General features: G+C 40.5%; 1 protein-coding gene and 1 long non-coding RNA gene across 9 annotated transcripts in view; one reads left to right on the top strand and one right to left on the bottom strand.

Annotated features, from left to right (window-relative positions):
- SEMA5A (semaphorin 5A) overlaps positions 1 to 22,073 on the top strand; it is a 511,043-nt gene that overhangs the window by 20,579 nt on the left and 468,391 nt on the right. The gene's annotated exons all lie outside the window — the stretch shown is intronic.
- Positions 7,411 to 14,164, bottom strand: SEMA5A-AS1 (SEMA5A antisense RNA 1). The gene is made up of 3 exons (NR_109935.1): positions 14,087 to 14,164; positions 13,432 to 13,517; positions 7,411 to 8,925 (listed from the first exon to the last, which is right to left on the bottom strand). It is a non-coding gene; the product is annotated as an SEMA5A antisense RNA 1 (long non-coding RNA).

Below are 22,073 nucleotides of genomic sequence, written 5' to 3'. Positions count from 1 at the left end.
TTAGCTTGAACTGTTGCATTGAGAGCCTTTTTTCTTCATTAGAATTCAGCTTCTTTCTCAAGTCCCAGTTTATGTCTGGAGTCTCAGATGGACACACTAGTAAGGATTCCTTTTACATTGATCTTGGCTTCTTCTGAAATCCTGGTGCCTTTACTGTTGCTGCCAGTCATTTTAGGTTAAATCAGGGATCAGCAAAGTTTTCTTGTAAAAGGTGAAATAATAAGTATGTTGGGCTTCTAGGGTTATATGGTCTCTGTCATGACTACTCAGTTCTGCTGTTGTAGCGTGAAAACAACCATTGAGACTATGCAAACATATGACATGACTGTGTTCCAATGAAACTTTATTTACATAAAGAAGCAGTGGGCCAGATTTGGCTTATGGCCATAGTGTTCAACCTTTGGCCTAAACCATATGAAATAGCTATTTTTGTAGTTCAAGAAAGGTCAACTATTGGCAATTTCATATGATTCAAACAACAGGTTGTAAACTTTGTTGTAAATATTAGTATCCTCTGAAATCTCTTTTTTCCTCTCTCTCTTTTTTATTAGCTTGATTTTAGCCTGCCATGGTATCTAAGCCAAAGTGTCAAATTTTGGGCATTCAATAGATATATGGTTAGTATATGACTGTGAGGCAGGACCCTCACTCAAATCCCTTCATGGGAAGAAAACTAATAGTTCATTAAATATTTGTCAAGTCACCCAAAAAAAGTGTTTATGTATATATTTATTTTGCATTAATAATGGTTGAAAATTAGCTAAGGACTGATATTGTGACCAAGGGGACTTTCATCATTATTTTTGTGGTCATTGTTACCATCTGTATTTGCTTCTTAGGGCTACTATAACAAATCAGCACACACTCGGTGGCTTAAAGCAAGAGAAGTTATTCTCTTGAAGTTCTGGAGGCCAGAAGTCTGAAATCAAGTTGTTAGCAGATTGGTTCAAAGGGCTCCGAGAGACAGTATATTCCAGGTCTATCTTCAGCTTCCTGTAATTGCTGGCAGTTCATGGCATTTCTTGGCTTGTAGAAGCATCATTCCAGTGTGGAGTGTCTATGTCAGTAGTCACGTGGAGTGCTCCCTGTGTGTCTCTGCCTTCATGTGGCCGTTTTATGAAGACCCCAGTCATTGCATTAGGGCTCACTCTAATCCAGTATGATCTTGTATTAGTCCGTTCTCACATTGCTTTAAATAACTGCCTGAGACTGGGTAATTCATGAAGAAAAGATGTTTAGTTGACTCATAGTTCCGCATGGCTGGGGAGGCCTCAGGAAACTTACAGTCATGGCAGAAGGTGAAGGAGAAGCAAGCACTCTTTTCCACATAGAGGCAGGAGAGACAACTCAAAGGGAGAAGAACTATACTTTTCAACAACCAGATTTCGTGAGAACTCCATCACAACACTGCACTAGGGGGATGGTGCTAAACCATTAGAAACCACCCCATGATCCAATCACCTCCCACCAGGCCTCTCCTTCAACATGTGGGGATTATGATTTGACATGAGATTTGGGTGGGGACACAGAACCTAAAGCATATTAGACCTCATCTTAATTTAACTCTATTTGCAAAAGCTCTATAACATAGTGATAACATAACACTGAGGTTCTAAGTGGACGTGAACTTTTAGGGGACAGACACTAATTGACCCTGTACACCATCTGTAAGGGAGCGGAGCACAGAGGATGACCTGGAGGTGGCACCTTGTTGACAGAGTTGTTTTCTGCTCCTGAGGATCATCCCAACTTATTTGCACTGGACCTTGTCCAGAGAATTCAGTTTTTGCATGCTTTTAAGAACTTGCTGATTTTTGTATGCCTGTATGCCTCCTCCTCCAGACCAACTGTTGACAAAGAGAGTTCACCCAGGAGGGTGATTATTTTGCCATGATTGATGACTCACTGCTGAGACTCTGAGTCATGTCACCTTCCCTTTGTCCCTCGTTATAGATTTGTATGGCAATTGAGAGACACTTAGAATATGTTTAATTGTTTGGCTTTTTGAATTTTTGTAAACAATTTTACACAATATGGAGTGGTTGCAATTATAGCTAAGATATGAGACATCCTAGGAAGGATTTTCACTTTAAATGTTTACAATTCCTGCATTTTTATGGGATTCATGAACCTAAGTAAGATAATCACTTTAGATACTGAAACCACACCCTTCAAAGAGAGACCAGGAGCTTACATCTCTAACAGGGCTGTGATAGGATAAGGCTCTGGAAAAGGAGGCAACGATGCACACATTCCGCCATTGCCCGGGTGCTGTGTTCTGCTGGAATCCCATTGTTCTCTGCGGAGCTGAGTTTGGCAATTATTACAGTTCTCTTGTGTACGTTTCATTTGTTGATTTCATTTTCCTCTTGACTGGATGAGTTAATTCCCATTTTACATAAATAAGGAAAAGATTTCTTCAGCTGATATTAGGTTTTAAACACTCTTATTAGCTGTGTACATGAAACCACCTTTATTACTTACTACTTGCTTTATCTTGTTAAAAAAAGAGACCACAGAAACTCAAAATATGTATGTGCGTCATCATTTAGAGAAGTAAAAATGGCCCTAGAGAAACTGTTTAATAACATTATGAAGAGCTATGAGAAGGGAAGCCACGTCTATCTCAGTGCATAAAAGGCTGTGTGCATTCAATTTCAGTTGAAGACCAGTTCTCTCATGAACTGAAATGTTCCATGTCAACAGGAGATGCAGAATCATACTTGTCATTGGAGACCAAATTTGGTAAATTTCAAATTCCTTTAAATATTGTTAGTTCCATAGTTATGGTGGGCCTCAAATGTTTGGTTTAACTTTCCAGGTTAAAATCATTCATTTTGGAGGGCGTGGAGTTAAACACATACAGGAGAGTAAAGAGACATACTCTTTACCCCTCCTTTTTATTTATTTATTTTTTTTGAGATGGAGTTTTGCTCTTGTTGCCCAGGCTGGAGTGCAATGGCGCAATCTCGGCTCACCACAACCTCTGCCTCCTAAGCGATTCTCCTGCCTCAGCCTCCTGAGTAGCTGAGATTAGAGGCACGCAGCACCATGCCCAGCAAATGTTTGTATTTTTAGTAGAGACAGGGTTTCACCATGTTGGCCAGGCTGTTCTCGGACTCCTGACCTCAGGTGATCTGCCCATCTTAGCCTCCCAAAGTGCTGGGATTACAGGTGTGAGCCACCGTTCCCCTCCTACTTCTCCTCTTATTTGCAATTACGCCCTTTGTCTCTGCCTCATTTTCTCTGTCTCGTACGTGCAGGCTGACTGCTTCCAAGGTATGAGATTATTTATTACATTAGCCCGATCTTGCCTTTCTACATGGAAGTTGTCAACATCCTTTCTTGAGTCATGTGTGGGTGTCACCATGGTGTCAGGCTGTGGAGGTAACAGAGGAGGGAAGAAGAAAGGGCTGCTAAGTTCAATCCATGCAGGCGAAGGCTATGCGACGGGGAGGCTGTCTGAGACCCTGTTTTGGAACCCAGGACGGTCTTGGACCTCAGAAATCAGGTGGAGCCTCTCAGTGGCACCCTGGACCCCTAAAGAGAGGGAGGGAGGATCCTGAGGACAGGTGTGACAGGCAGCCTGAACTGAGCAGGTGCTGTCCTCTCTGCCCCTCCTCCCTGTAAGGTGTCTAGGTCACCTCCTTGGAGTCAGACCAGGCATGATTTGTGGGGTGAAGGGAGGCTCAGAACACGGCTGCAGGGAGCGCGTGCTTTATTAGGAAAGCTCTCTCTGAGGACTTGAGGCACTGCTGACAGGAAAGGAGGTTTTCCTTGTAGTGTGTGGCCCTGGAAGAAAGAGCTGGGACCAATAGGGAAAAACATAATCATTCAGAGTTTCAAATAAATGGAATGGCCAGCTGTGAGGGCTCCAGCAGATTTCATAAACCGCTCAGCAGGAATAGACCGAGCGGTGTTAAATCCTGACTCATTCACCTGTACAGTTGTTTCACATCCACCTTTTTTGTTTGTTGCAGTTTTTATTCTGGAATCATTATTTCTAGATAGAGAGCATTTGCATCTTTTTTTAACAAGATAAACTTTTAAAGACATTTCATTTTATTTTTATTATTTTTATTTTTTTAAGACAGTATCTCACTCTGTTGCCCAGGCTGGAATGCAGTGGCGTGATCTCCGCTCACTGCGGCCTCCACCTCCTGGGTTCAAGTGATTCTCCTACCTCAGCCTCCCGAGCAGCTGGGGTTGCAGGCGTGCGCCACCACGCCCGGCTAATTTTTTAAATTTTAGTAGAGATGGGGTTTCGCCATGTTGGCCAGGCTGGTCTCGAACTCCTGACCTCAAATGATCTGCCTGCCTCAGCCTCCCAAAGTGCTGGGATTACAGGTGTGAGCCACCAGGCCTAGCCTAAAAAATGTTCTAGAATAGTCTTAGATGCCCAGAAAAGTTGTAAAGTCAGTTTGGAGAGTTCCTATGCACTCTGTGCCCAGGTTCCCCTATTGCTAACGCCTTGCACTTGTGTGTACATTGGCCACAGCTAATGTGCGACACTGATGCATCATTACTCACTGAAGGCCACGCTCTATTCTGACTTCCTCACTTTTTCCCTCATGTCCATTGTCTGTGCCAGGATCCTGTGCAGGACCCTCCATTGCAGTTAGCTGCCTGTCTCCTTAGGCTTCTCTTGGCTGTGACAGTTTCTCAGACTTTCCTTGTTTTGGATGACCTTGATGGTTTTCAGGAGGACTGATCAGGTAGTTTGTCAAATGTCCTCAGTTTGGCTGTGTCTGAGGTTTTTCTCATGACTTGCCTGGAGCTAGGATTTTCTGGAGGGAAACAGAAATAAAGCGCCATCATCATGATATCAAGGATGAGTGCTATGGACAGGACTTACCAGTGATGCCACTGACTTTGATCTCCTGGCTGGGAGAGTATAAAATATGGAATAACAGACCAATCCCAGACCAATCCCTATCTTCAATAGGCCCAGATGCTGGTGAGCAGTGCCTGCTCTCCCACCTCCCTGCTCTGAGCTCCTGTCCTCCCCCTACCCACCCTCACCTTCTAAGCCCCTCTGACTCCGCCCCAGTGCCCTGTCCTTCAAGAGGCTCACGTTCCCCTCACTCCATTTCAGCGACTCCCTCCCTGCCCTATTCCCAGCACGCCATTCCTCTGTTCTCTTCTCCATCATCCTCCATAGGTTTACTCATGTATTTGGTGGTTTACCTCCTCCCGTGGAGTGTGGGTCCCACGAGGCAGAGCCTTTGCTTCCTTCACTGTATGTCCAGTCCTGACAACAGTGCCTGGCCTGGAGTAGGTGCTTAGGAAATGTTGGACTGATGAATGATTTGTAGGAGGAAAGGTCACAGCACTTGGAGAATGGTTCTGTACCTCTGAGGTTACAATTTGGGGGTGGGAATGGCTGCTGCTAGGCCAGGTGAGGGGCCTTCCTGAGGTGCCATGGCTGGAAACTATATCACTTGGCTCTCTTTGGCTTTTCCCATAAACTTGTATTTCGAGAATTGTGGGATTCAATGACACTCCATTTTTCACTTTGCTTTACACAGGTCTAAACTTTTGGTTATTGTATGTGTTGTGACAATGTTTCAGAAGCACATTGTCTAGGAGTATTAAAATGGTTTTCAATCAGAGAAATATGTCAGAGTTCATTGAAAACATACCACTACAGCAAAAGGAAAAAGGAAGGCTGATGAGGTAAGAGAAAGCACTGGACCGCGATCCAATTTACAGACTTGAAAGGGCAGGCTGGGTTGGTCTGAGCTGGGTCTCAGAGTGGTTTTGGCCCTTGCTGGTTTCAGCACTTAATTGTGTGGATTTCGTAATACTTCACAGTTACGGTTTTCTAGTTCTTGGCTTCAGCACATGCATGGTGATGGGAAACATATCTAAGGAATTTTTCCTTCTATTAAGACATGGAGGGCTCAGTGGCAAGCTGTAAAAGACTTTCTTCAGCATTAATTATGTGGTTAGAGAAAATAAATGAGCAAATTAGAGAATTAGCACCAAATTAAAACGAAGCTGGATTGGACACAGCAGCTAGTTCAGATTGTTTTTGCATTTTGGTGATAAAAAGATTTTTCTTGCTTGTCAACCCAGCATTGAACAATGAAAAGTTTAGGGACATACTTCGCTGTTGATGCCATCTGAAGAAAACAGTATTAAACTTAAGATTTTTTGTTTTTTAATTTGGTCAATCCATCAACAATGTGTTATGAGTGCCAACATTTAATTGGGAAAAAGGTTTTAGAATTCTTTTTCTAGGTTTTAGTTGAAAGTGGGATACTCACCTAAAAAAAAGTCACAACCAGGATGGCTCTGCAAATGATATTGGCATTTATTTCCACACTCCGTCAGTATACAATAACAGACTGATGCCTTAGCAGCTCCATGTTTTACAGAGAAAGGAAGAAAACTCACCACAAACACACAAAATGAGACAAAAACTCACATAAATATGCTGGGAAGAGTGGAGCTCAAAATTATATTTATGGCTTTATAATATGCCATAGTTATTAATTTAACCCTGATAGTGATAATTCAGGTAGCAGGTATCCCCAAATGAGTCTTTGCTTATCAAGCTTAAAAAAAAATTTTCTGCTCTTGCTTGGAGTGAAAAAAAAAATAGGTGAAAGATAAACATGTCATTCTGGGCTATAAAAGTATCACTGAGATTCATATTTTTAAGGAAGTTCTTTACTCTCTTCTGTTTTGAGTCAGCATCTCCTCTGTTTTTTAAAATAAAGTGGTCATTTTCTCCTTATGGGGTTCCATTAAGATCAAGCAGTGCACAAGCTCGTCTGAAAAGGAAGTAACATCTGATCTGAAAGTGGGGGAGGGATACAGGAACATCAAACAGATAAATGGGAGAACACACAGAGAAGTTGCTTATGGCAGTGGAATTGGATGGAAATTTCTGGGCAGTGAGTAGGTTGGCATAATTGGGTGAAGTTTTCCTGCTTTATTTTCTCTCCATAAATCATGTGTACATTTATTTCAACCTTTAAATAGGATATCCAGAGGACCAACTTAGTAAACAGATAATAGCTGGAAATTTTGAGATCATTCATTCAGCTTCCTTAGGTGTAAATTAAGTGTTTTAGACAAAATATGCATTTCTTAAATCTCTAACATTGGTGATAGGCCACCTACTGACCTTCCAAAGTTAATTTACTGCCAAAAGAATATGCCTTTTACCTGAGGAATTAGCTGGCTCAGCTAAGGGCCCATTTTATCATCAGGACACATAAAATTGTAGATTTAAATGGAGTCACAGCTAAATAACCGATTTGTAAAAACATAATTTAACAATTCTGTAGCAAATCAAACAATTTATGATGGTGCATGAGCAAAGCACTCACATTATGTCTTCTGCAGATCCAGCTCTTCTTGGGGAAGGTTTCGGTGGATTTTTTCATCGTTAATTTTTTTGTTTTTTGGTGGGTGAAATAGAGTTGTTCTGCTCTTTGTGAATTGCAAGTCATTTTCAACGTTTTTGTCTGGTTTCCATAGTTACTACTTACGCTTTTGGAAGAGAAAGCAAATGTTTCTTTTAATGTGATGAGGCAAATCGTTGCTTCTGTTGGCCTTTTTCACCTGTTGCTACCATAAACCGTGACCAGAAGGGAGAACAATCCTCTATGTTAGTTTTCTGTGTTTTTTCTTTCTAAGTCTAGAAATTGAGTCACTATGATTACAGGAAAGCAGACTGGAGAGGGTCGGCTCATTGGTAAGGCACAGCCCTTAGATGCTTTTGTGACATTATTTTCTTCATAACCAGCTAGGAAAATAATCTTTATAAACTTCATAGGTTTAGTGATGCACAAAAACTGATCATTTTGCAGATTAATTACATTAAAACCCTTCTCTTAGTCAAGGGATTCCAAATCATCACTAGCTTCATTAATTATAAAAATTAATTTCAGTCAATTATTTGAAAAAGTGAACTACAACAGGTAACTTCTTTGATCTTGTTTGCACTCCTGGTGTTTATTCCACTGATTCTCCAACCTAAAGGCACAGAGGACCTGGGGATTCTGTGGAGATGCAGAAGCTGGTCCAGGGGTTCTGAGGTGGAACCTGAGAGTCTGCATTTCTGTTTCCAGATAATACTGATGCCACAGGTCCTGGGACCCCACTTAGAGAAGTGAGTATTGATGCCACATGCACTTTCAGAGCAACTGCAATCCTTGGAGCCAATTCCCTTTTCCTTCTGCAAAGACATTTAGTGAACAGACCACATGAATTTAAACTTAATTTATGGTTCTTTAGAAAAAATGTGGCATTCCCCATAGGCTTCACAGAATTGGTTTCTCTGTTGGAGTTTTGGTAGTTCAGTAGTGGCCACAAGGTGGGCTTGCTCCCACCCACTCCGGACTGGACATGTTTTAGTTTGAAAAGAACAGATCGTACTTCCTTGACATGGATGTTCCAGTGTTAATGTCACTGAGAAGAAAGTAAACACTCAGGGATTGATATGATAGTCATGAAGTGCACTGTGTTCACATTGACAACCTTCTATACTTTTGAAGAAGCCCATGTGAGAATAACAGGATTTGGTAGAATGTAGAGATCCTTTTCAGCTCAGTGGTATTATTTTGCCACCATTGGGATAGGATGTAAATAATGGGTGTGTTCTTTAAGTAAGAATGACCATGGATCCCTGGTTCCTAAATGCCTCTCAGTGCTTCCCCTGTGTCCCAGAAGACGCTGCCCCCATGTGGCTCCAGGATGGCCCGTGGTCACTGCTTTTCTGATTCTCATTGGTCTTCCAGTTGCATGGGGAGGGGAGCCAGGCTTCTTGCACACAGATGCGGTTTGATACTCTTCCCTCTTCTGGGGTTCCAGGATGCTTTGATGAAGCAACGTCTTAGGAAATGGCTCTCTCCTTGTAAATGGTCAACCCCTTTCTCCACACAAACTGTCGTGTCTCTTCACACTGGTTCCCTGGGGTGGGATGACAAAGGATTCTCTTGTTCATACTAAAGTGAAGACAGTTTTCTACATTTTAAAATTTTGTCCAGTGGGCGTTATAACCTTCACAGCTGACTATACGGGTAGTTCACTGTGAGAGAGTGTAGAAATGGTAAATAAGAGAAATCTCTTTTTCTAGAGATTCTAAGTGCTGCTTCCAACGGTGCTATGAAATCCTTGCCATGTGTACGTTCCCTGTTCTCCATGTGATGGGCAAAACTCCTGCTCTTCATGGACAGCAGGTGTGTGTGTGGTGTGTGTGTATACGTGTGTATTTATGTGTTGCGTGGTGTTTGCGTATCTGTGTCTGTGTGTGGTGTATACGTGTGCAGAGGTATGTATGTCATGTGAGTGTGTCTGTGTATGTGTGTGTGCATGTCTGCACACCTCTGTAAAGGCAGGGTTCACATTGGACTCAGCAGTGCCTTGCACAGTGCTTTATATACCGTAGGTGTTCAGTAAATTTGTTCAGTTAAATTGAATTAAGCACATGGTACCTGGGCTATGTTTCGTTCAATAAAAAGAGATTGTTTTTGCACTGATTTCACAAATGTCGTAACTATATTCAGATATGAGAAAATGATTTAATAAGAGAAAAGTGTCCCTGTCCCACTTTCATTTATGAGGTGCTACGTGGGTGGCAGTTGATGGAGAAGTGAGATGTCCTATGGGTCTCCACCTTGACTAGGGAACACAGTTTGGTTCTTAGCATACTATTTTTTGGGAAGGTTAACAAATTAAAATCCCATGATTAAGTGAATTTCAGATTTTACACTGACATTAAGCTGTTTTCTTCTTCATCTTTTTCTTATCAGTTGCTCTTAAGGAGCTGGATCTGACATGTAGCAGCACCTTCCTGACAGCTGCTATTCCCGGGGACTATCAGGTTAGCTGCATTACCCTTTGGACTGGCCGGGGTGTGACAGAACATATCTGTCATTTGTTAGCAGCTGCAAGCTCTTCTGTTTGTGTCATTCTTATGGGGTCTAAAATTAATTGGGAACATTGCACGTTCTCCCAAGTTCTTTGCCAACTCCCCTATTGCCATAACCATATTACACATGCATTTTTCACACTTATTTCAAGGTTCTCAATGAAAATTTCTTAACGTCAAATTAAGCTGCCCTATGTTAACTTTTAAAGGCATTTTTAAGTTTCCGTTGCATGACGAACTAGAGATGGTCCCTGCCTTCAGATGGTTGGACTTACAGTTTTTGACTTCATGATGGTGCTAACATGATATACATTCAGTAGGAGCTGTACTTTAAATTTTGAATTTTGATCTTCTCTCAGCCTAGTGATATATGGTGGACACTCTCTTACCATGCTGGGCAGTGGCCATCAGTCACAGCTCCGTCAGCCACTTGATCACAAGGGTAAATGTCCAATACTCTACAGTGGACTGAGTTGCCAAATGATTTTTGCAACTGTAGGCTCATGGGAATGTTTTGAGCATGCTTAGAATAGGCTAGGCTAGGCTATGATGTAGTTTAGTATATTAAATGCTGTTATGAAAATACGATTTAAGTGTAGGAGAAAAACATTTTGAGGAACATGGCTTTAAACTTTTTAGTATTCTCTGTTGACAGAACGAGAGAATTGCAGGATCCCACCCCACAATTTTTTATCCATAAGGTTAATGATGCATGGAGCTGAGGATTAAGTTTGAGTGGAATCTACACTAACCAAAACTCTTTTTAAGAATGATCTTTTTGAAGGAACCTTAGCAAGCATATTTTCATTTGCAAGGTGATTTAAAAGTAACAGTTGACTCTCCATATCCATGGGTTCCAAGTCTATGGATTCAGCCACCTGTGGATCAAATATATTTGGGAATAAAAGGGTGGTTCTATCTGTACTGAACATGTACAGACTTTTTCTTGTTATTTCCTAAGCAATACAGTATAACAACTATTTACTTAGCATTTATATTGTATTAGGGATTGTAAGTAATCTAGAGATAATTTAAAGTACATGGGAGGATATGCATAGGTTATATGGAAATGCTACACTATTACATATCAGGGACATGAGCATCTGTGGATTTTGGTATGGGGAAGGGTCTTGGAACCAATCCCTCAGGTATACTGAAGGATGACTGTAGTTCTAAATGATTGACATTAAGAGGTTAACCTCTGCTGCTGTGGAGGGTGTGATAGTCCACTCCAAAGACGTCCCTGTCCTAATCCCTGGAAGTTGTGAATGTTACCTGACATGGCAAAAGGAATGATGCAGATGTGATTAAGTTACGGGTCTTGAGGTGAGAGATTATTCTGCATTGTCCATGTGGGTCTTAAATGTAATCGTGAGAGTCCTTATAAGAGGGAGCAGAGGAAGATTTGCTGCAGATAGAGAGGAAAAGGCGATGTGAAGATGGAGCAGAGAGAGAATTGGAGATGCCCTGCTCCTCCCTTGTAGATGGAAGGGAAGCCCTAGCCCAGGGAGGCAAGCAGCTCTAGAAGCTGGAAAAGGCAAGGAAGGAAACAGATTCTCCTCTATAGCCTCCAGAGGGAGCAGGGCCTCGCTGAGGTCTTGATTTTGTCCCAAGGAAACTCGTTTTAGATTTCTTACCTCCAGAAATGCAAGAGAATAAATATGAGTTGTTTTAAGGCACTAAGTTTATGGGAATTTGTTACAGTGGTCATTTGTTACATAGGAAACTAACGTTCCACTCCACTATCTCACTAGTGAGCTTTTGACCTAAGAGTATTGAGTTTTAAAACATAAAATTAATGTTTAAATGTATAATGAGCCTGTATGAAGCTATAATTGCTATAGTAATTCAAATAAGGGGATAATTAAAACGTAAAAATATTCTGAAGTCGACTCTGGGGCATAGATTGTTAGGAAAGGCTTCAGAAGTAGATGGAATCAGTGAATCTTTAGTTGCTTGGCATTTTAAGACACAGCTCTGTATTGTACCATCTGTTTTGTGTGAGGAGCTGCCGCCGCCACAATATCATACAATCACTGGTTGTAAATTTTGTTGAAGCCATTATGATCTCTTTCTTCCCAACCTTTCCTCTCTTTTCCCTCTGTCTTCCCCTAAACACAAACATGTGTTCCAAGTGGTTGAAGTTTTCTGGAGAACCACTGTATAAGCTGTGCACATTTTTGATTTAATGAAAACTTCTAAGACATCCTGAAAAGAAAAAGTGTTTTTCCTTTTAAAGAAATTTGATGGAATCTAGAGGATTTGATGCCTTTTTGGGTGAAATCCAATGATAGGATTCTTTGCTAGATTATTACTTTTTCACTCTGTAAAGTTTTCTGGTTTAATACTATTATCGGAATGAATTATTAACATCCCTAAATTTACCAAGACACACATTTAATTCATGTGATTGTGTGATTCTTTTTAAAAAAACATATCTTGAGATGGGATATTTATTTTCTTGAAAAATTTTAGTATGAAAATTCACATCAACATATTATATTTACTCTAGTCCTCAGCTTGCATATATATATATATATATTATATATATATATTTGCATCTCATTTCAGCAAAATAAGGCAGAGCATTTTTTGCAACTTGGATTTGGCTTCCTTTTATTCTTCGTTTTCATTAATGCGTTCCTTGCTTTGGCACAGAACTCTATTTGGTTTGCAACACTCTAGGAAAAATGCTTAATTACTGAAAAACTTTGAAATTCAGGAAGAACATGCAGGGGAGCGTATTTGTTCAGGTCACGTTTATGTGACTTTCAAGAACAGATAAAAATAATCTGTAGCTAAACCAAATTGGTGCTTTCGTTGAAAGGATTTGGTTGTCAGTGGGACAGAAAGAAATGGTGGTGTCTAAGGCTTCCTTTAATTTAAAATGCCTTAAAAGGAAAAGCAGGATGCATAACAGAGCCTCTGCTGGCATGGGATCAGGCTCTTCTTGAGATCTTTCCAGAATACTCAACACCGTGCAGCAGAATTGAACATTAATGTTGACTTTTAAAACCACTCCATGTGCACTGAGAGACTGCTCAGTTACTATGAACATCTGATCTTAAAAAAAGAAAAAAAAAGATAGAAAGGAAAATAACACCGGATTATGAGTTAGAAGACCAGAACTTCAGCTTTTGGATTCACCACTTCCTACCCACATCACTTTAGACAAGTCCCTGCTATGCACTGAGCTCTGGCTTCTTCATTTGAAAAGTAACGATACCTATTTTGCTTCCCATTCAGAGGGCTTAGGAGGATCTAAGGGTTAGGTATATGGAAACACATAGTAAAATATGATGTTATATATAATAAAAAGGAAATGCAAAATTATGAAGTTATTTTGATTGTTGCTAAAGTCATACAAAAGTAAATGTTTAGCACGCTTTTTTATGTATGGATGAGGTTGAGAATAATCAGTTATGCTCTTATGCTTTGAGACAAGGGAGGTGGAGCTGGGGCTATGTCAGCTCCTCTCTTTTCTAGAAGCCACAATTTTGACTTCCTTTGACTTTCATTGCCAGGAACATAAGACTGATGAATACTTCTCTGCCTTCATTCATCCCCAAACTGTGAAGGATGTTTCCAAGACTTTTCTTCTTTTGTCTCTGGTCAAAAGAGAACAAGATATCTGTGTAAAGAAGAAGACAAATCATATTTTGTCAGGATAATGTTGTCTGCCTTAGTGTTACATACTATTATTTATCATAACTTGCCCTCAAATTGTTTGTTTTCTAGTTGTTAACAGGAATTCATCTTCATTATTATTTAATTTATTTTTAATTGACAAAAGTTATATATATTTATAGTGTTCAACATGCTGTTTTGATACATGTACATCTTGTGGAATGATTAAATCCAGCTAATTAACATATGTATTACCTTATTTACTTATCTTTCTTTTTTTTGTGGTGAGATCACTTAAAACCTAGTCTTAATTTAATTTTAAAATATACAATAAGTTTGTTTAGTCACCATGTGGTAGAATGTTAACTTTGCTTTTAGATTATACCTGGGGCACAAATTACACTACAATATTTCAGGTTACAGAGGTCTTCTGAAAGAGCTAAGTGGTCTCAGGCTCTTTAATCAAGACTGCTGTCTCCAGGATATCAGAGACTTTTCCTTGGATTCTGAGTAGCATGAAATGATACTGCCCAAATAATTACCACTCGAGATAGTTTTCACCGTTGGAATTACCTTCTGAATTAGCCAGATGAAAACATAAGGCTCTGTTGTAAAAAGAATGTATCTCTTTAACTTAAGGGAGTGTGAACTGGGAACAGGATATATTCCAATTCCATATCAAAATGAGTAACAGAGATAAGAGGAACATCACATTATGACATCACAAAATCTCTTGAATGTGATGTGCATTTGACAAGCTGTAGAAGGACTATGTAGCACTGTTGTAAATATACCTATAAAATTCATCACTCCAAGAGTTAAAGAATATATTATAATGATTCATTGTAAATGAATTCCATAGGGTTTGAATGAGTATATGAATTAAAGAGCCATTAATGACTACTGGAAAATTCAGAAAATTTCTGGTACACTAGATATCAGGAAACACAGTGTGTGATACTCACGGCCACAGATGCAAACGAAAATTTGAATGGCCTAAGACAACAATGACTTCTCGGGTATCTTCTGGAATGGGCATGGCAGGCCGAATGGACCATGGTTCAGTTGGTGACAATTCGTATGTCCAATAGTTGTCACCAAAAATATGCTCCAAACTTGTTTAACTCAGTTCCTTGAATTATCTGAAATTATATTTTAAAACATTTCTCTATTGAGAAATTACAAAGGTAGCCTTAGGCTGAAATTCTAATTGGGAGGTAAATGAAGGGAATTGTGATATATACCAATACATGCAAAATTTTCTAAATTTGCATTAACTTGGGAGAAGGATTAGAAATATAATATGTTTTAAGAAAATGCAATTTCATTTGTTTCAACTATTAGCTGTAAATGGAATAAGGTTGACAAATAGTTCCTTAAAGGAACTTATATAGTTCCTTAAAAAGTTTGCTATAACCCGTTTATAAAACTCCTTTGCAACTAAAAGTACAATGTAAAATATCTTTTACAATGCTATGTAAAAGAGTTCTTACAAAGAACTTGAAAAATCAAGTTTCCAAAATGCGTTATTTACTTCCCAATAGTTTGTGCTTACCAATCTAGAAATAAATAGCATCTATGAATTACATGAAGTTGCCATTTGTATGTCAAAATCTGTCAAATACTGGAGGTTTTAATGTGTTCAAATACACACTAATTCTCCCAATAAAGCAATAAACGTTTGTTGTATTATTACTGTCTAACACAGTGCTTGGTGTGCTGTGAATCCTCACTGACCCTTTGTAGAAGGAATGAATGAGGTCGTAAATGAACAGAAGATTGAATGAGTGAATAGGTGAGACTTCTGGGCTGGGCGTTGTGCCAGATGCCACGGGAGTTAAAATGGCATGGCTTTCAATCTTAAGGCTATTTCTTTTAATGTTCTTTCCAGATTCCCTGGAATTAATTTTTCCACCGTCGTGGCCCCTTGGAGGTTGCCTCACCAGAGAGTCCTTCCCTAGACATTCTATCCCCATGTAAAATCTGTTGCTTTTTCCTCTGCGTTTAGTTCCTTTCTCCCTCCTATTACTTGAAATAATATTCTTTCTAGTTTATATACTTTTTGTTTTCTCTCTTCTCCAATAGCGTTCATGATTGGAGGCACCTTGTCTTGTTCAGTAATGTCTCCCCATTTCCTAGAAGAGGGGGTGGCATATGGTAGGTTCTCAATACATGTTTCTTGAATTAATGAATGAGTGGTTTGGAGAAAAACTATCTAGTGAGAGCAGCTGATTTGCCAGTGGTCTAACTCAGAAACTCAACTTTAAGATGAAATTCTGAGGCTTCTTACAGAGTTTAGAGTATTACAATGATAAACTTTGGGTACATATGGATAGTCTAATACTGTGGTATTGCAGGGGCTCTGAGGCTGTAGAACCTATATCCACTCATTAAATAATTTTATGTTGGGGCCGGGCATGGTGGCTCATGCCTGTAATCCCAGCACTTTGGGAGGCCAAGGTGGGTGGATCACCTGAGGTCAGGGGTTCGAGACCAGCCTGACCAATATGATGAAAACCTGTCTCTACTAAAAATACAAAAATTAGCCGGGCGTGGTGGTGTGCGCCTGTAATCCCAGCTACTCGGGAGGCTGAGACAGGCGAATCACTTGAACCCGGTAGGTGGAGGTTGCAGTGAGCCGAGATCATGCCATTGCACTCCAGCCTGGGCAACAAGAGCAAAACTCTGTCTCAAAATAATAATAATAATAATAATAATAATAATTTTATGTTGGATGCCTACTAAGTGTCAGGCAATGGGTACTTAGCGGACCATAGAAGAAATGTAAAAGTGAACTTTCCAAATTCCTCCTCTCATCCTGCTCTTTTCTTCACCCCTGTGGACACCTGCCTTCCCCTTGTAGTGATGCTGTCCTGGTGAGTAGTAGAAAGCACCACCTTGTACCCACCCATACCCTCTGCTTGGCCAGAATTGCTCAGTGCTTGCAGATTATGTAAACTCCCTTCTCTTTTTAAGTCATTGATTTATCATGCCTGCCATTTTCACTGTTGAATCTGCAGAGTTCTGATAAGCATCCTTGGGGTTGCCTCATTGTAAATTTGTCCCTAGTTGTAGATCCACTTTTTCTTCATCCTATGTTTTTAAGCATTTACTCTATAATAGGTACTGAGAATACAGTGACGGAGAAGACAGACATGGCTGTGAAACCTGTCAGAACTTCCTTCGTGCCAAAGAAGATGGGTAGTTGCAACATGACTACAGTGAAGTGGCAGGAGGGCTGTGGAAGGGAAAATAGAGAAGGATCTGGAGCACAGAGCAGGACGGTGGTAAGCAGGGGACTTCAAGGAAGACCTTACAAAGGAGGACCATTCTCTGGACACCCGCAGAAGGGAGAAGGCCTAGGTAGACAGAGGGGAAGGCTATTCCAGGCAGAGGGAGCTGCATGTTGAAAGGAGTGTGATTTAAGAAAGTTTGCAGCAGCCAAAGGACTGAAAATGCTGGATCTGGCTAATGTCCATTCCACAGTCACTGGTATGCATTGATGGGAATTTTACAAACTATCCCTTCTGCAACGTGGAGAATGGATTGCAGCAAGGAGCGATCAGACGCAAGGAGACCACTACAGTGGCGACATTTACAGTGGTGATAGGGGAGTGGGAGGGAAATAGGTCCACTTAAAAGATATTTAGGAGGCTTGATGTACACGATTCGGTGACTACTGGATGCGGTGGTGGTGGGGGCTTCATGAGGAAGAGGGAGATGACACTCCCTGGCATCTTGCTCAATCCATAGAACAGGTGCTCTAGTGACCAAAATGAGAAACAGTGGAGAAAGCATATGCTGTGGTTGTTTGTGGAATGCAGGGTGATAAATTCGAAGCTTTGTATCTTCAGACTCAACCTCCTCACAGTGACTCATCTTTCCCTAGTTGCTAGGATTCTATGATCACGTTCTGGAAATGCTTCCCCAAGCCAGCTTTCTGAAGTTTTTTCTTTTTTTCTTTTCTTTTTTTTTTTTTTGAGACAGAGTCTTGCTCTCTCGCCCAGGCTGGAATGCAGTGGCGCAATCTTGGCTTACTGCAAGCTATGCCTCCTGGGTTCATGTCATTCTCCTGCCTCAGCCTCCCGAGTAGCTGGGACTACAGGCGCCCGCCACCATGCCCGGCTAATTTTTTGTATTTTTAGAAGAGACGGGGTTTCACCATGTTAGCCAGGATGGTCTCGATCTCCTGACCTCGTGATCCGCCCGCCTCGGCCTCCCAAAGTGCTGGGATTACAGGCGAGAGACACCGCACCCGTCCCTGAAGTTTTACCTCATGCTAGAAAAGCAGCCTTCCACGGTGGGTGCCTCTAGGGTAGAGCACGAGTTCTGCCTGGGTCACCATTCAGCACTTGCAGGTGCCTGTTTCCTTCTCTCTTACACTGACTGAGACTTTATCTCAAAGACTTTACAGGAGATTGCGTCAAATATGGAAGCCAAGAAATAAGGAAAGACCTCAGGAGTACAACCTGTAAAGGGCAATAAGCATTTAGAGCTGTACTGTGTAGAAACCATGGAAAAGCATATATGACAAGAGAGTCAATTTATTCCTGAAGAAGGTGATTAAGGCATGTGTGGGAAAAACAAAATGATGACATTTAGATAAACTGTTACCGGGAAGTCGTACTGCACCAGATGGCATATTCTTTAAGACTGCTCACATCCCCTCTCTCTGAGGAACTAGTTAACATGTAAATCTGCACCAAATACTCTGGGATGGTTTTAACCTGAAAGTGACTTGAAGATAATGGAGATACACACCCACTATTTTAGGGCAATGGTGAAAACTCAATCACGCCTTCCATGTCGACTCAGGTGCTTCTTTATTACAGTGAGAAAACATGATTAAACCTAATTGCAATGAAACACACCCATGTCATTTATTACAATTATTTTATTTCTAGTAAAATAATACCTATGTTATCTTACTAATGGCACCTCCTTTCTAACAAGAGTAAACATTGCTCTACAAGGAATTGATGCCCATTTGATTTTTGTATTGGTTGTAGCAAACTTAAAAGAAACCAGCTTTCAATAAATACTCAGTAAGTATTCAATTTTAAAAGTTATCTCAGCACAAGCTCATGAGTCTGGGAGGTTACAGGAAAGAGCTCCCTGTAGGAAACACAGTGATCCTCGGATAGCACATAGAGGGGGAGGCATGATTTCAGCATGAAAGTGAACCCATGGGAATTGGTGTTGATTGTGTTCTGTGACCTGATGACTGGAGGTGCTGCTCTGGAAGCTCCCTATTGGCCTTGGCTTTCAAATAATTTGTTTTGATAAATTTCATCACCTTCTTAACATGTCCATTTGCAATTTTTGCCCACAATTTGTAAGGGATGCATTGAAGCCATACTGAGATTTTGGACCCCATAAGCCATCTTAGACCTTATTTTGAGCATACAAGAGACCTAGGACCTTCCCTTTCAACCCTACCCCATGGGGCCATATTTCGTTGTTCATTAAGCATGGCCTCCGCTTTAAATGGGATCTCTTGTCGGCAGTCTCTCTAAGCACTGAACCTTGTAAGACTGTCTGGATAGTTACTTGCAGCCCAAAATGAAAGGTTTCTAATATGACCCATTATATTAATTTTTCAAAAATAATTTGGGAGTCACCCTGAACATTAGAGCTGTTTAATATCTTATTAGATCTTCATGTATTAATACATTGCATAGCAGCTAAATGCAGATATAAACAAACTAAGAAATCGGGCAACTTTAGCAACTCCTCACCAATGGCTTGAATTTAAAGCAATTTACATAGCCTGCTAAAAGAGTGTCCCCATTATAGCTAAAATAAAATTAAAACTTTTGCAACTAAATTGGCCTTTGTCTATTGCTCAGTCTTCTAATGATTCTAAAAAGAAGCCTAAATTATCTAATCCTTTCTATTCTTTTATCAATAATGTAAATTATTCTGGTGGATGTGTTACTTTAATTATACTTGAAAGTTTCACATGAGGTTGAGGACCACCAGTAGTCCAGTGCCATTTCTCTTGATATCTCAACTCATTCTTTATGGTTTTAGTTTCTGCATTTTTCATCTGGCTCTGTTTTGCAGCTTGCATGACAGTTAATCTACCAGGACAAATTTCTGATTGCTCACTTTGAGACTATTCCTATTGATCACAGAAATTGTAAGCCAGAAAGTCAAAGACAACAAAGAAAAGTCATGGTACTTATCCATAACCCTGCACGATACCTCCTAGCAGCAGTTAGAAATAAATCATTGACTTAGCTTCGGCCATTTGGCCTTCCTCTTGGGAAAAGCTGCCAGCAGAGGTGTTTTGGGAGCCACCTGCAAGGTTCTCCTTCACCAGAGTCCTGGGGTGACTATGTTTGGGTTCTGGCATTCTGGCTGCTCTCCTTTCTGGAAGAGAGAGACTAAGTAACTCTCCTGCAAGCGCTTCAGGGGAGTCAAATGAACCAGTCTGGTTTGACAACTTGTAGCATTCAATCAAGAAGCCTTCCAAGGGGAATATGAGGCTACAATCTAGCAGACTATTTCCTGTTTTCCAAAACATCCAGGCTGTATCTGAGATCACCCACTGTTAATTATTGAAAATAACTGATGGAGTGTGGGGGTGGTTTGAAAGTTTGAGTCATAGGCATGTGAAGTTTAATTTTTAAAAAATTATACTAAATGGATTTCCTCAGGAAAAACCAAGCCCAAATGAGCTCTCTACTGAAAGCGAAATGCTTTTGCCTTTTGCCTTCTAGAAATAAGTGCTAGATTCAGGGCAGGGAAAGGGAACTGGGACTCACATCCTTGGTCCCCTTGATATGAAATCAGCTTATCATTGTAGGAATACTAAATATTTCTAGATTTTTTTTTTTTGTTTTAGAATTTGTCTTTTCTGCTCAAATGCAGGATAAATAGTAAAACTAAATTAGAATTTCAATTCTTCAGTGTTCTGAACTTTGTTGGAATTTTTGATCAGGAGAAATTATGTACTAAGTAACAAGTATTTATTTCAGTTAAAAATGAGTTACAAGGCTGCTATGATGATCGGATACTATCTATTACACCAAGCACAGGGGTGAGGAAAACAGAGAGGAAAATGGAAGCCTTTGGAGAAGGTGATAGATTGAAAAATGAGGATATAACATAAAAGGAACCCGATGCTTTGGCCCTTGCCATTGATTGGACATCAGGGTATAATCCGCTGGCAGTGTTGCTGTCAATGTGGTATCTCTGCTCGGGACCTGTGGTGACCCAGCTCCCATGATTTGGCTCCCAGCTCCTTCTTTGCCCTCATTCACTGATTCCTCCCTTGCACCTGTCCTTCAGCCTCATGTACTCACTTTTCTTTAGGAAGGGTTCTGTGCTGATGCCTCCTCTTCAGGGGCAGCTCTACTGACCACTCTGTGTAAGTCCTACGAAGCATTCCCCTTGCGCCTCACCATGCTCTGCCCTTCACAGCACTTGTGCTTACCTGCTGTTGCATTTGAGACCCCGGTACTTATTGGTTTATTACCTGTCTCCTGATGTGAATCCACGTTCTGCAAGAAAGGGGACTTTGCCCTGCTTACTTCTGCATCTCTAGAGCTTGCAGAAGTTTCTGGAAAACAACAGAAGCTGAATATTTCCTAAATACATTAATGAAAAGAGGTTTTTTGAGTTTTGTGGAAACTGTATTTGTAAAAATAAACTTTTTTTCTTGGTTTTATAATATTAGCAAGAAGATTGCAATGTATAATATGATGCTAGTGAAATGTATTTCTTTTCTTTTCTTTTGTTTTTTTTTTTTTTTCTTTTTTTTTTTGAGACGGAGTCTTGCTCTGTCCCAGGCTGGAGTGGAGTGGCGTGACCTTGGCTCACTGCAGCCTCCGCCTCCTGGGTTTAAGCGATTCTCCTGCCTCAGCCTTCCCAGTAGCTGGGATTACAGGCATGAGCCACCATGCCTGGCTAATTTTTGTATTTTTATTAGAGACAGGGTTTCACCATGTTGGCCAGGCTAGTCTCAAATCCCTGACCTTGTGATCTGCCCGCCTCGGCCTCCCAAAGTGCTGGGATTACAGGCATGAGCCACCGCGCCCAGCCGTGAAATGTATTTCGTTATAATTAGAGGGAATGGTGAATGCCAGATGCCATTTATTTAGCACTTTGTCTGTTCCAGGCATTACTCTGGACATTTATTGACTTAAATGATGCCAAATCTTTGGGTTTTAAATAAATCTATGACTTAAAATTAATTTTTGTTTCATCCTAAGAAGTTGTTTTATAATATTCCCAGTGTGGCGGGCAATGAACTCCTCTATCCTTAAAGAGAGATGGCATTGTAAGAGCAGTGCTGTTATGCAGATCTTCATCCATGAGAAGGTGTCCAACATTTGAAGTGTTTATTTTTAAAATTTTAAATGCAACTTTAGGATGCTACATAAAATACACAGAGATGATTCCATGTGAAGTTGAAACCATTCAAGGTTGGCTCCAGCGTGTGGATGAATCTGCTCAGTAGCACATGGTAATGGAGTGAACATGGATGTTGTGAGCCCAGGCTCTTGTGTTTGGCTCTGAAATTAACTCACTGGGAGCTTTTCATGGAAATAGA

This window comes from Homo sapiens, chromosome 5, assembly GCF_000001405.40.
Source record: "Homo sapiens chromosome 5, GRCh38.p14 Primary Assembly".
Classification (NCBI taxonomy): Eukaryota; Metazoa; Chordata; class Mammalia; order Primates; family Hominidae; genus Homo; species Homo sapiens.
Note: the sequence above shows the minus strand (reverse complement) of the source record. Positions and strands in the feature narration are given on the sequence as shown.